We start from the raw sequence: 12,227 nt of genomic DNA, 5'->3' as shown, positions 1-12,227 counted from the left end.
GGTCCCTATAAATACTTATAATCCCAAAAGTCTGTATCTAGAAAAATAAGAATAAAAATAGAATATGGTTAGTTTAAAAAAAAAAAAAAAAAGAAGAAGAAGAAGAAGAATGCTTGAAAAGCTAGGGTAAACTACATGGCTATGTCAGTACTTACCTGCTGAATGATTTTGGATGTTTTCTGAAGATTCTCTCTAGGAGGGACTTTACCAAATAATTTCCAACCAGGAGCACTATGGACAACTGATTTGAGTTCCTTTGTCCTTTTTGGAAAAAGGTTTCTGAAACACAGAAAAGTTACATGAATTGTGTTTTTTGTAACCAGAGAGCTATTTAACAGTAATTTTATAATAAGTTTGTTCCCAAGGCAAAAACAAAAATACTTTTAAATAAAACTATTTCTACTACTTATACCACTATTACTTAGAATAATAAGGCTCAATTAAGAATATGTAGCTTAATACCTAATGCATGCAGGGATTAAAACCTAGATAACAGGTTGATAGGGGCAGCAAACCACCATGGCACACGTATACCTGTGTAACAAACCTGCACATTCTGCACCTGTGTCCCAGAACTTAAAGTAAAATACAGACTATCTGGCTTATATAGAGGTATTAGAAGAATCATCAACAGAAATAATAAAAAGATAAACAAATTGGAAGGAAAATGATAGCCATAAATAAGATGCAAACATTTGTCTAAATCAGCTACAAAGTATACTAGAATTGACTGTACATGTACTTAACAATAAGAGCCAAAATTCTGAAAACAAAAACATTTAAAAGAATCTATATAACAGTTAAAGGATTAAGTAATACAATATTTGGATAAATATTATTTACAGTAATAATTTGTTATTTATAATAAAATTATATCTACTAATCCCCTATTGCTATAATATATATACATAACCTGTCTTTCCTAGGCCAGCTATGTACAAGAAAGCTTACTACAAAAGAGTCAATATATAACCAAGGAAGAAAGTATCTCTCACTGAAAAATCTAGAAAAAAAAAAACAAAACCCAGGACAGGTGCGATGGCTCACACCTGTAATCCCAGCACTTTGGGAGGTTGAGGCGGGCGGATCACGAGGTCAGCAGCTCAAGACTAGCCCGACCAACATGGTGAAACCCTGTCTCTACTAAAAATACAAAAATTAGCCAAGCGTGGTGGTGGGCACCTGTAATTCCAGCTACTCGGGAAGCTGAGGCAGGAGAATCGCTTGAACCCTAGAGGCGGAGGTTGCAGTGAGCCGAGACCGCCTCATTGCACTCCGCGTCATTGTGCACCCTGCACAAGTATTAAGGATTTTACCTATTATCTCCATGCCCTAACCAACCAAATTAAGTACCTATTTTTTTATGTAAGCAGGGATGATACTCAACATATGTACCCATCAAAACAACATGACCAGGGCCCAATGAACCAATTAGGAAGGTACTGATGAATTCAACTCAATATAAACCCTTTGCATAAGCTATAAGTGAACAGTAAGAAAATTCTTAATTCACACATATGATTAATTACAAACAGTTCCAAATTGAAGTCCCAAATAATTAGATTTATCTATACTCAAAATGCCGTATCAATATATCTTAAAAGTGCAGATTAGTGATAATAGAAAATAAGTTTTTAATGAAAAATGTTAAGGGACTCCTACAAAAGAATGCAGGCTAATCAATAATAAAGAAAAGAAATGGCCAGGCATAGTGGCTCATGCCTGTAATCCCAACACTGGGAGGCCAAAGCAAAAGGATCACTTGAGCCCAGGAGTTTGAGAACAGCCTGGGCAATGTAGTGAGACCCTGTTTCTACAAAAAATAAAAATTAAAAAAAATAGCCAGGCATGGTGGTGCACACCTTGTAGTCCCTGCTACTTGGGAGGCTAGGGTGGGACAATCACTTGGGCCCAGGAGTTAAGGATGCAGTGAGCTATGATACTGCCACTATACTGCAGCCTGGGCAACAGAGCAAGACCCTGCCTCCAAAAAAAAAAAGAAAGGAAAAGGAAATAAACACTCTTATTTCCTCAGGTGTATAACAGAAATAAACATATGACACTAGAGTAATTTCTACTTTAAGATACTCTGGAGGTTTCACCTCAGAGACCATGTACAGTGACTTAATTCTCTACTTCATAAGATCACTAAATAGGTGAACGTTTTCAATAATGAATATGCTGAGGACTAGGAATACTTCTAAGAAAAAAATTTGAAGCCTCAAAGGATGGTCTATTAATTTAAACAATGTTTGATACGTTGTGTACCACTTATCAAGAAAACACTTTGTAGCTGATTTAAACAAATGTCTACATCTTATTTATGGCTATCATTTTCCTTCCAATTTGTTTATCTTTTTATTATTTCTGTTGATGATTCTTCTAATACCTCTTAACTCCAAATTCACCTTTATGCTCTAAGATAACAGAAAAAATTCCTTTAATCATTTCTCCTTTAAAACAAACATGAAATTATTAAGCTTTCTGGGTAGAGGGCACCAAAGGGACACTGAAGGAGAAAGGGGCTCTCCTGTGGTTTCCAGCTGCTGCAGAGTGGATCGGGTAGAAGTGTGAGGACATCCAGTAAAATTCTGCTTAGCTCGATGCCCAGACTGCAGCCCCTCAGCAAACCTGCAGCCTTGCTGAACCTGCAGCCTCAACCTGGAGATGGCGTTCCTGCAGCCTGCTCAACAAAAAAATTGACTCCACCAAAGGCTTCCTGCCAGCAACAGTGTGCCAATTTCCTCTGCAAGCCCCACACAGGCCAGACAGTTCTCATCAAGTCATATTCCCTCTACAATTCCTACGTGACCTGCCTGCACCCTAAAGGTTTCCTATCTACCCACACAAATAAACACAAGAAAAAATCTTTGTCACCATGGTTTAAGAAAATAATTATTGGATATGACACAAAAACATGATCTACAAAAGAAAAAGTTGATGAACTGGGCTTAACTAAATTTAAAACATTTGAACTTCAAAAGACATCATGGATGCAAAATGACAGAATAGAAAGATCTAGGGGTCAGTCTCCCCACCAAAGTAAAAGTTGAGCTAGAAAGAGTAACTGGAGCGGGGCATGGTGGCTCACATCTGTAATCCTAGCACTTTGGGAGGCTGAGGCGGGTGGATCACCTGAGGTCAGGAGTTCGAGACCAGCCTGGGCAACATGGCGAAACCCTGTCTCCACTAAAAATACAAAAATTAGCCAGGCATGGTGGCGCAAACCTGTAATCCCAGCTACTCAGGAGGCTGAGACAGGTGAATTGCTTGAACCCAGGAGGCGGAGGTTGCAGTGAGCTGAGATCGCACCACTGTACTCCAGCCTGGGAGACAGAGCAAGACTCTGTCTCAAAAAAAGTAAGAGTTAAAAAAAAAAACTAAGAGTAACTGGAATCAAGTACTTTAGTAGAACTCTAGGAACTGACCAAACCCTTTTAACAACCAGGGGAGTGCTTGATGAAGGAAGAGGCTACCGATCTTTCATAAGTATGAATAAGCAGCATGCATAAACCAATTACCTTCCCCTATTCCTCACAACCACCACCACCACACCCACCACCTCTTGTGGCAGTGGGGATAGCAGCCCATGTTCCTGGAGTTGCTAACCGGTGCCAGGAGGGACAGTAGGGATCATGTCCTTCAAAATTTAGGGTTGTACATTTTGGTTGGTCTGGCCCTAAGGGAGTGATGCAGGCACATGCATCAGTTTCACTACTCTCCACAGCAGTGGCTTTCACTGTAAGTATTATTAGAACAATAAAAAAGGTAAAACCTTTTTGATCTCCTTTTTTGGAGCCAGATATCTAAGAAAATCTTTGTCAGGTCACCAGCTAGCCACAGAGACAACAGAACAAAAACTTGTGACCATACACAATATGGAATACATACTTTGTGAAAATAGCTTGTAAAGTCACAAACAGGTGGCTTCAGCCCTCAACAAGCAAAAAACAGCAATCACTGAGGAGTGGGAGAAACAGATTTATAGTTACCATACTATAATACTCAGAGTATCCAGTTGTCAACAACAAAAAATTACAAAACATACCAAGAAACGGGAAAGTATGGCCCATTCCCTAGAAAAAGGAATTTGACAAAAATCTTCCCTGAGGAAGCCCAAAGTAATTACTAGTCAAAGACATTAAGTCAATTTCATAAAAAAAAAAAAAAAAAAAAAAAAAAAGCTCCAGGAGATTGAAAAAGAAAAAAACCCATGGACAAAGAACGAAAGGTAATAAAGGAGGATAAAGGGGGAAAATGTATGAACAAAATGAGAATACCAGTAAAGGCAGAAATTATAATAAGCAACACAACAAATTCTGGAGCTGAAAAACAACTAAAATAAAAAATTCACCAGATGTACTCAACAGCAAATTTGAGCAGGCAGAAGAAAGAGCTGGCAAATATGATGATAAGAAAATTGAAACTGTCCACTCTCAGTAGTAGAAAGAAAAAAGAATGAAGAAAAAGGAACAGAGCCTGAGGGGCCTGTGAGACATTACTAAGTGTACCAACTACGTACCATAAAAGACCAAGGAGAAGGGAAAGACAAAGAGGCAGAAAAAATACGTGAAGAAATAACTCACTTTGGGAGGCCAAGGCAAGTGGATCACAAAGTCAGGAAATCGAGACCTTCCTGGCTAACATGGTGAAACCCCATCTCTACTAAAAATACAAAAAATTAGCCAGGCATGGTGGCGGGCGCCTGTAGTCTCAGCTACTCCGGAGGGCTGAGGCAGAAGAATGGTGTGAACCCAGGAGGCGGAGCTCGCAGTGAGCCAAGATTGTACCACTGCACTCCAGCCTGGGTGACACAGCGAGACTCTGTCTCAAAAAAAAAAAGAAAATAACCAAAAACTTCCCAAATCTGAGGAAAGACATAATCTACACATCCAAGAAACTCAACAACTTTAAGCAGAATAAACTCAAGGAGGTTCACACTGAGATACATTATAGTCAAACTGCTGAAACTCAAAGACAATTTTGAAAACAATAAGTGAGAGGTACCATCAAAACCAGAGATCCTCAATAAGATTAACAGCTTATTTCTCTTCAGAAACCATGGAGGCCAGAAGTAAGATTACATATTTAAAGGTCAGAAAGGAAAAAAAAAAATTGTCCACCAAAAATTCCATATCCAACAAAACTATCCTTCAAGAATGAAGGAGAGGCCGGGCATGATGGCTCATGCCTGTAATCCCAGCACTTTGGGAGGCCAAGGCAGGTAGATCACGAGGTCAAGAGATAGAGACCATCCTGGCCAACATGGTGAAATCCCGTCTCTACTAAAAATACAAAAATTAGCTGTGCGTGGTGGTGCGCGCCTGTAGTCCCAGCTACTCGGGAGGCTAAAAAGCATTAAAGCATTAAAAAAAAAAAAGATTTTTTTCTTTTTTTAAAAAAAGCAATTTTGACTTTGTATCATCAATGACAGCTGGAAATTTTTTAAAATCTAAAGAGATATAATAGCAAGAAAATACAAGGTATGTGAGAAGAAATCTAGCCAAAGTTTTATAAAAATTTATAGAGAGAATGAAATGATACATTATTGAACCACATTAAAGAAAACCTCATTAAATAGAAAGATAGTTCACATTTATAGAAAGGAAAACACTATCATAAAAATATCAATTCTCCCCAAACTTATCTATCAATTTCATCCAATTCCCATCAGAAACCCAACAAGATTTTTTAGGAACTTGAAGGAAACTCAAAAATTTATGTTAAAGAATAAAGGACCTGGGCGGGCACAGTGGTTCACACCTGTAATCCCAGCACTTTGGGAGGCTGAGGCAGGTGGATCATGAGGTCAAGAGATCGAGACCATCATGGCCAACATGGTGAAACCCCATCTCTACTAAAAATACAAAAATTAGCTGGGCGTGGTGGCGCGCGCCTGTAGTCACAGCTACTTGGGAGGCTGAGGCAGGAGAATCAACTGAACCCAGGAGGCGGAGGTGCAGTGAGCTGAGATTGCATCACTGCACTCCAGCTAGCAAAAAAGTGAGACTCCATCTCAAAAAAAAAAAAGGAATAAAGGACCCAAAATAAGATATTTTCAAGAAGAAAAAAGGCAAGGCTGAGTTGCCCTAACAGATATCCAAATTTACCATAACATTACAGTTTTTAACAACATATGGTATTGACCCAGGGATAAAGAAATTAATCAATGGAGAAAGAATAAACAACTCAGAAACATACCCAAGCATAAATGGAAACACAGGTGGCACTGCAGATCAACGAGGAAAGATTGTGTAATAAATAGTATCGGGACCTCCGGCTAGCAATGTGAAAGAAAATAAATTGGATTCCTACCACATACCACAGTCAGTTCCCAATGTATCAAACAGTTATACACGAAAGGCAAACTTTTGAAAGCTTTAGAAAGAAACACAGGAGAATTTTTCTTCTAATCTCACAGGGAAAAATCTAAAAATCAGTCCCAAAAGCATTAATTTTTAAAACTTGATAAAATCACCAGCATAAAAAGTAATGAGTTCTGTTCAAAGAGCACTATAAACAAAGTAAAAAGACATAAATTTAGAGGATAAATTCCAACACACATAAATGACAAAAAATTAGCACACAGAAAATACAAAGAACTCCACTAACCACTTTCATAAAAGATAATCTAATAAAAAATAGATAAAAGGTATTGCAGAAAGAGGGAAAACAAATGGCAAATGAGATCTATCACACAATATTTAGCCTCATTAGTAATAAGGGAGCTCACAAACTAAAAACAGAGTAACATTTGTAATGTATTGACCACTGTATATAAAATCTTAGCAAAACCTAAGAAACCTGATAATACCAAGTTTAGAAGGGGAAGAACACTGTTAGAAATTTACATGATATAAATTTGTTTTGATATTTACATGATATAAATACAGTTGTTTCTAGCTCATAAAGTTGAACAGCTGCATACCCTACCATCTAGCAATTAGACTTCTAGCCACGAATCCTAAGCAAAGTCCTGGACATGTACATTTGGAATACATATATAACAACATTCAGGACAACACTGTTCAAAAGAGCAAAAACCTACTCAAAATCCAAAAATCCACTGACAGAAGAATAGAAAATTCTAATTGTGGTATATTTGCAAATGTAATATTATTCCTCCGTGAAAAGCAACAAAAGCTAATTCATCACCATGAATGAAACTTGAAAAAACAATGTTCAGTCCTATGATCTGAATGTGTTCCCCAAAATTCATCTGTTGGAAACTTAATCCTCAATGCAACAGTATTTGGAGGTGGGGCCTAATGGGAGGTATTTAGGTCATAAGGGTTCCACTCTCAGAATGGATCAATGACAAAATAAAAAGAGCTCGACCTCTCAGGCTCAAACAGTCCTCTTGCCTCAGCCTCCTGAGTAGCTGGGACCACAGGCACACACCACAACACCCAGCTAATATTTTAAATGTTTTGTAGAGACGAGGTCTCACTATGTTTCCCAGGCTGGTCTCGAACTCCTGAGCTCAAGTAATCTTCCCGCCTCGGCCTCCCAAAGGCTGGGATTACAGGTGTGAACCATTGCATCCAGCCCCAAAATACTAGTTTTTATTACATCATGTAATCCTAATGTCCCAGTCAGGACTCCCTAGTAACTGGAGAGCCCTAACTAAAATGGTTAAAAGATTTTCTTTTTCTTTTTTTTTTTTTTTTAAATGGAGTCTTGCTGTGTCGTCCAGGCTGGAGTGCAGCAGCACAGTCTTGGCTCACTGCAACCTCCATCTCCCGGGTTCAAGCAATTCTCCTGCCTCAGCCCCCTGAGTAGCTGGGATTACAGGCGCACACCACCACGCCTGGCTAATTTTTGTATTTTTAGTAGAGACAGGGTTTCACCATGTTGGTCAGGCTGGTCTCGAACTCCTGACCTCAAGTGATCCACCTGCCTCGGCCTCCCAAAGTGCTGGGATTACAGGCGTGAGCCACTGTACCTGGCCAATTTTCATATTTTTAATCCATAGCTGAGGAGCTATCAATTTATCCTCTGCCTACACTGCATTGGGCATCATCTTCTGCCACAAAGCTTAGGTACACTTACTTGAACCAAAATGGATAAACATTTCAGACTTCAAGTACCCTTCTTAGGGTCAATTCACATTTATATACAAATCTGTCTCAATCATACTGAGGTAGTTACTGGGTCAGAAACCATACTAACAATAAGCCCTTGGGGAAAAAAATTTACAATGAACAAATTTTATTGTTTTTTTTACAGCTATTATCAACTCTAATCACTGACCAGACTGCAAGAACAGGTAGGCAGTTCTCATGAGGAGAAAAAAAAAAGCATTCCATTCTTTATATTAGAAATGCAGAGTTACATGTATAAATTATTAAAGCAGAGACACCATAAAATAGAAGGGCTTAAGCATATTTTTTAACTTAGTGAAGCATAGCTTCAAATAATGTGACCTGGCTGAGAAAACAGACATAGCAGCAGACGGAGAAAACCACAAATATAAGATGAAGTTATACCAAAGGAAAGTAATAACTACAGATCAGAAAATTCTTCATGTGCAGAATTCTATAAAGGGCCTTGGGGGTATTTATGTCTCTATAGCTTTACCTACAATTAGATATTGTAATCCTTACCAAACATATTCTCACATGAAAAACTAGAGGCTACACATATTAATATTGTCTATCAGATCTCTATAAGTTACAGAATTTTTTAAAATCACACCTAAAATGCTAAATATACATAAATCTTTGATTAGGGACTGTTAAAAATTATCTTGCATTAGCCAGGTGCAGTGACTCATGCCTGTAATCCCAGCACTTTGGAAGGCTGAGGTGGGTGGATCACCTGCAGTCAGGAGTTCGAGAACAGCCTGGCCAACATGGCGAAATCCTGTCTCTACTAAAAATACAAAAATTAGCCTGGTGTGGTGGCACGCACCTGTAATCCCAGCTCCTCGGGAGGCTGGGGCAGGAGAATCGCTTGAACCCAGGAGGGTTTCCGAGACGAAGTCTTGCTCTCTTGCCCAGGCTGGAGTGGCACAATATTGGCTCACTGCAACCTCCACCTCCCGGGTTCAAGCGGTTCTCCTGCCTCAGCCTCCCAAGTAGCTGGGACTATGGGTGCACACCACCATCCATGGCTAGTTTTTGTATTTTTAGTAAAGACAGGGTTTTACCATGTCGGCCAGGCTGGTCTTGAACTCCTGACCTCAGGTGATCCACCCGTCTCAGCCTCCCAAAGTGCTGGGATTACAGGCATGAGCTACCACACCCAGCTACTTATAAGGATATTTTGGACTTCCAAAATTAACTCCAAGAAATACTAACTTCTTAAATCAAATAACAGTAAGTCTTTCAGTGGATGTGGTTTTTGTAGAATCTTGCTATGATCAGCACAGATGAAAAGGAAAAAAAAAAACCTCCAAAATAAAAAAGCCTGGTTCTAATTATATATTATAGTCCTGACAATACAATAAGTTCAGAATGAAGTTTAAATTCTTGTTAAATCATAAAAAAACAAGCCAAAGCCAAATAACTTAAATTTATGCATCCAGGAAACATTGGTTACTACAAGAAATTTCCATAAAAGAAATATGAGCCCACAGGTATCCAGTTGCTAAGAAAGGCCATCAGATATTGTTCCACATTAATTTCTTATGCCACTAGGAAATTTTGGATTGGGTTTTCAGGTTATTCCCTGCCACAAACACTATTTATAACATAATACAGCAAAATGGCATATACCTGCAATGAAAAGTAATTTTAAAATATCATTACAAATATTGTATATGGAATTGTGTTAAAACATTACAGATTTAACAGGCTTCACTGGTCAGCCTAGGAAAATAATCACTACTTTATTAAATCTTAAGGGGGAAAACCCAGTGAAAAGGTACATAAATAGGCCAAAAATGTGTCATCTTTTGACGCCCCATCCCTTGTCTCGCGATCTACTGTTAGTAAGCCTGAAAAGCTGATGTCTCAATGGAGATAAATGTGAGACCACATTCCTCCGTATCACCTTTTCAAATGAAAGACAGACCGACAGACAGACACACACACTCACTCTCTCTCTCTTCCCTTTCTCCCACCCCCCAAAATATTAAAATTTCTTAAATATAAATCAACACTAAAGGCTTCTTAGCAAAACAAACCAGATGTGTTCAAGCACACCCACACAAAAGATAGAACAATTCTTTCAGGATTCCAGAGGTAGTGTCTGACTATATGAATGACATCTGTAGGGCACTTTTGGGGAAGGGGTCACTCTTGTGCTATGTTGTTCGTGTTGAAGGGAGGGGAAGCAGAAAGGAACATTCCTAGCTTCTCTCTGCCCCCTTATTCATCCCCACCTGAGGGACCAAATTTTGGCAGCAGACACTGCTGCTGAAGATAGTCTGTTCTGCTCTCCTGTTAGGAGGCCAAGTTACCTCTGTACCTCTCTGCTCCCCATCCCCACAGGAAAGACCTGCTGTGTTAATGTTTTGCTGAGTAAATTTAACACAAGTGAAATATTAAGGAGGCCAACTGTAGTCACACAACAAACCCACATCTTTTGATCCACAATGTATCTGTATTAAGACATATTTTGAAGTACCATTTGTTTTCCTATCTTTTCTCTATTGAGCCCAAACTTGAATGGGTTGCTAAAGGTGTTACCTATTAGGCCTTCCCAAACCCCAAGTATTTATAAATTGAAAAGTACCTTATTGCTTCAGGTATGGTAGAAATATTAAGAACAACTATGTGTTTTCAAATTATTTTCTTTCTTTTCTTTTTTTTTTTTTTTAAGAGTCTTGCTCTATCACCCAGGCTGGAGTGCAATGGTGCAATCTTGGCTCACTGCAAACTCCACCTCCTGGGTTCAAGCGATTCTCGTGCCTTAGTCTCCCAAGTAGCTGGGATTACAGGTGCGTGCCACCACACTCAGCTAATTTTTGTATTTTTAGTAGAGACACGGTTTCTCCATGTTGGCCAGGCTGGTCTCGAACTCCTGACCTCAAGAGATCCAACCACCTCGGCATCCCAAAGTGCTGGGATTACAGGAGTGAGCCGCCACACCCAGCCTTCAAATTGTTTTCTTTCTTCATTCTGTGATACATCTTGTTAGCACATAACAGGGAATGGTAGTGTTAATCCATCTTTCCCCCTTTAAATTCATCCTCCACCCCAATCAACACTATATAAATACCATGTTCATGTACACGCCCATCTATACACACACAGACACAAACACACCATCTTCCATTCTCTCTACTAATTTGTGTCCAATCTTTTTAGCAAAAAGGAGTTGAGCAATAAGTTGCCCCAGTTAGGAAATAGCATCAACTGAGAAATAGCAGTCTAATGGTTTCTTCATTGTTGAAAACATATAGTTGAAAAAGAAAAGAGGCACACTAAGAAAAGGCTAATGTGGGGATTAGAAGAGAAAAGAGGGGAAAAGGCCTACTAATACAACCATTTCCCTGCCTTCTCCCTTAGTGGCTTTTATAATACAGGTTGGGTAAATGACTCTAGCTTATTAATACATGTTAACATTTGCTTCACATATCTGTGTGCTTGTATTCTCCTAAAATTTCTTCATTTCTTTTATCACACACAAAAAAAGCTACATAGGACCTAAGAGTCAGACCATTTGCCTACCATACCTTATCAAAGGCTAAAGCTCACTAAAAAGGGGCAAAATTTATTGATATCATGCAAATTCTCCACTAATGCTTTTTTAAATAACAGAATGTAGAGTGCTTGGATCTTTAAGAATTGGCAAACCCACTTACGTATCTGAGATAAAGGAATGTAAATCCCATAGTTTCTCAAACTGTGGAATTTGACACTATAGAAAATTGTGACTACCTAATCCTGAATCTTCTTACTGCCAACAGTAATGTGAGCTCCAGCCCTCCAAAAAGTAATTAATTTTGCTTAACATTTACATCAATTTGACTATTTTAACCTTTTAGACTCATTGGATAAATTCTAATAATCATTTCAATAGACTTGTATATTAAAAGGGGATTCAACACTGGGCACACACATGTAGTCTTGGCTACTCAGGCGGCTGAAGGAGGACTGCTTGAGCCCTGGAGTTCGAGGCCAGACTGGACAACATAGCAAGACACCATCTATTTTTTTAGAAATTGGGGTGGGGGGATAGAATACTTTTCGGCTGGGTGCGGTGACTCACACCTGTAATACCAGCACTTTGAGAGGCCAAGGCAGGTGGGTATCTTGCGTCCAAGAGTTCGAGACCGG

General features: G+C 39.0%; 1 protein-coding gene across 6 annotated transcripts in view; it reads right to left on the bottom strand.

The window, feature by feature from the left end:
• The window catches only part of TBC1D12 (TBC1 domain family member 12), a 133,792-nt gene that overhangs the window by 94,158 nt on the left and 27,407 nt on the right, over positions 1-12,227 (bottom strand). For all 6 annotated transcript variants that reach the window (XR_945637.3, NM_015188.2, XM_006717732.5 and 3 more), the window contains exon 2: positions 156-279. Coding sequence is in view for 5 of the 6 variants with exons in the window: in NM_015188.2 (NP_056003.1) it covers positions 156-279 (124 nt within the window). In the remaining variant the exon portion in view is untranslated. The remainder of the gene's footprint in view (positions 1-155; positions 280-12,227) is intronic.

This window comes from Homo sapiens, chromosome 10, assembly GCF_000001405.40.
Source record: "Homo sapiens chromosome 10, GRCh38.p14 Primary Assembly".
Taxonomy (NCBI): Eukaryota; Metazoa; Chordata; class Mammalia; order Primates; family Hominidae; genus Homo; species Homo sapiens.
The sequence above is the reverse complement of the archived record's forward strand: the minus strand, read 5'-3'. Positions and strand labels throughout refer to the sequence as shown.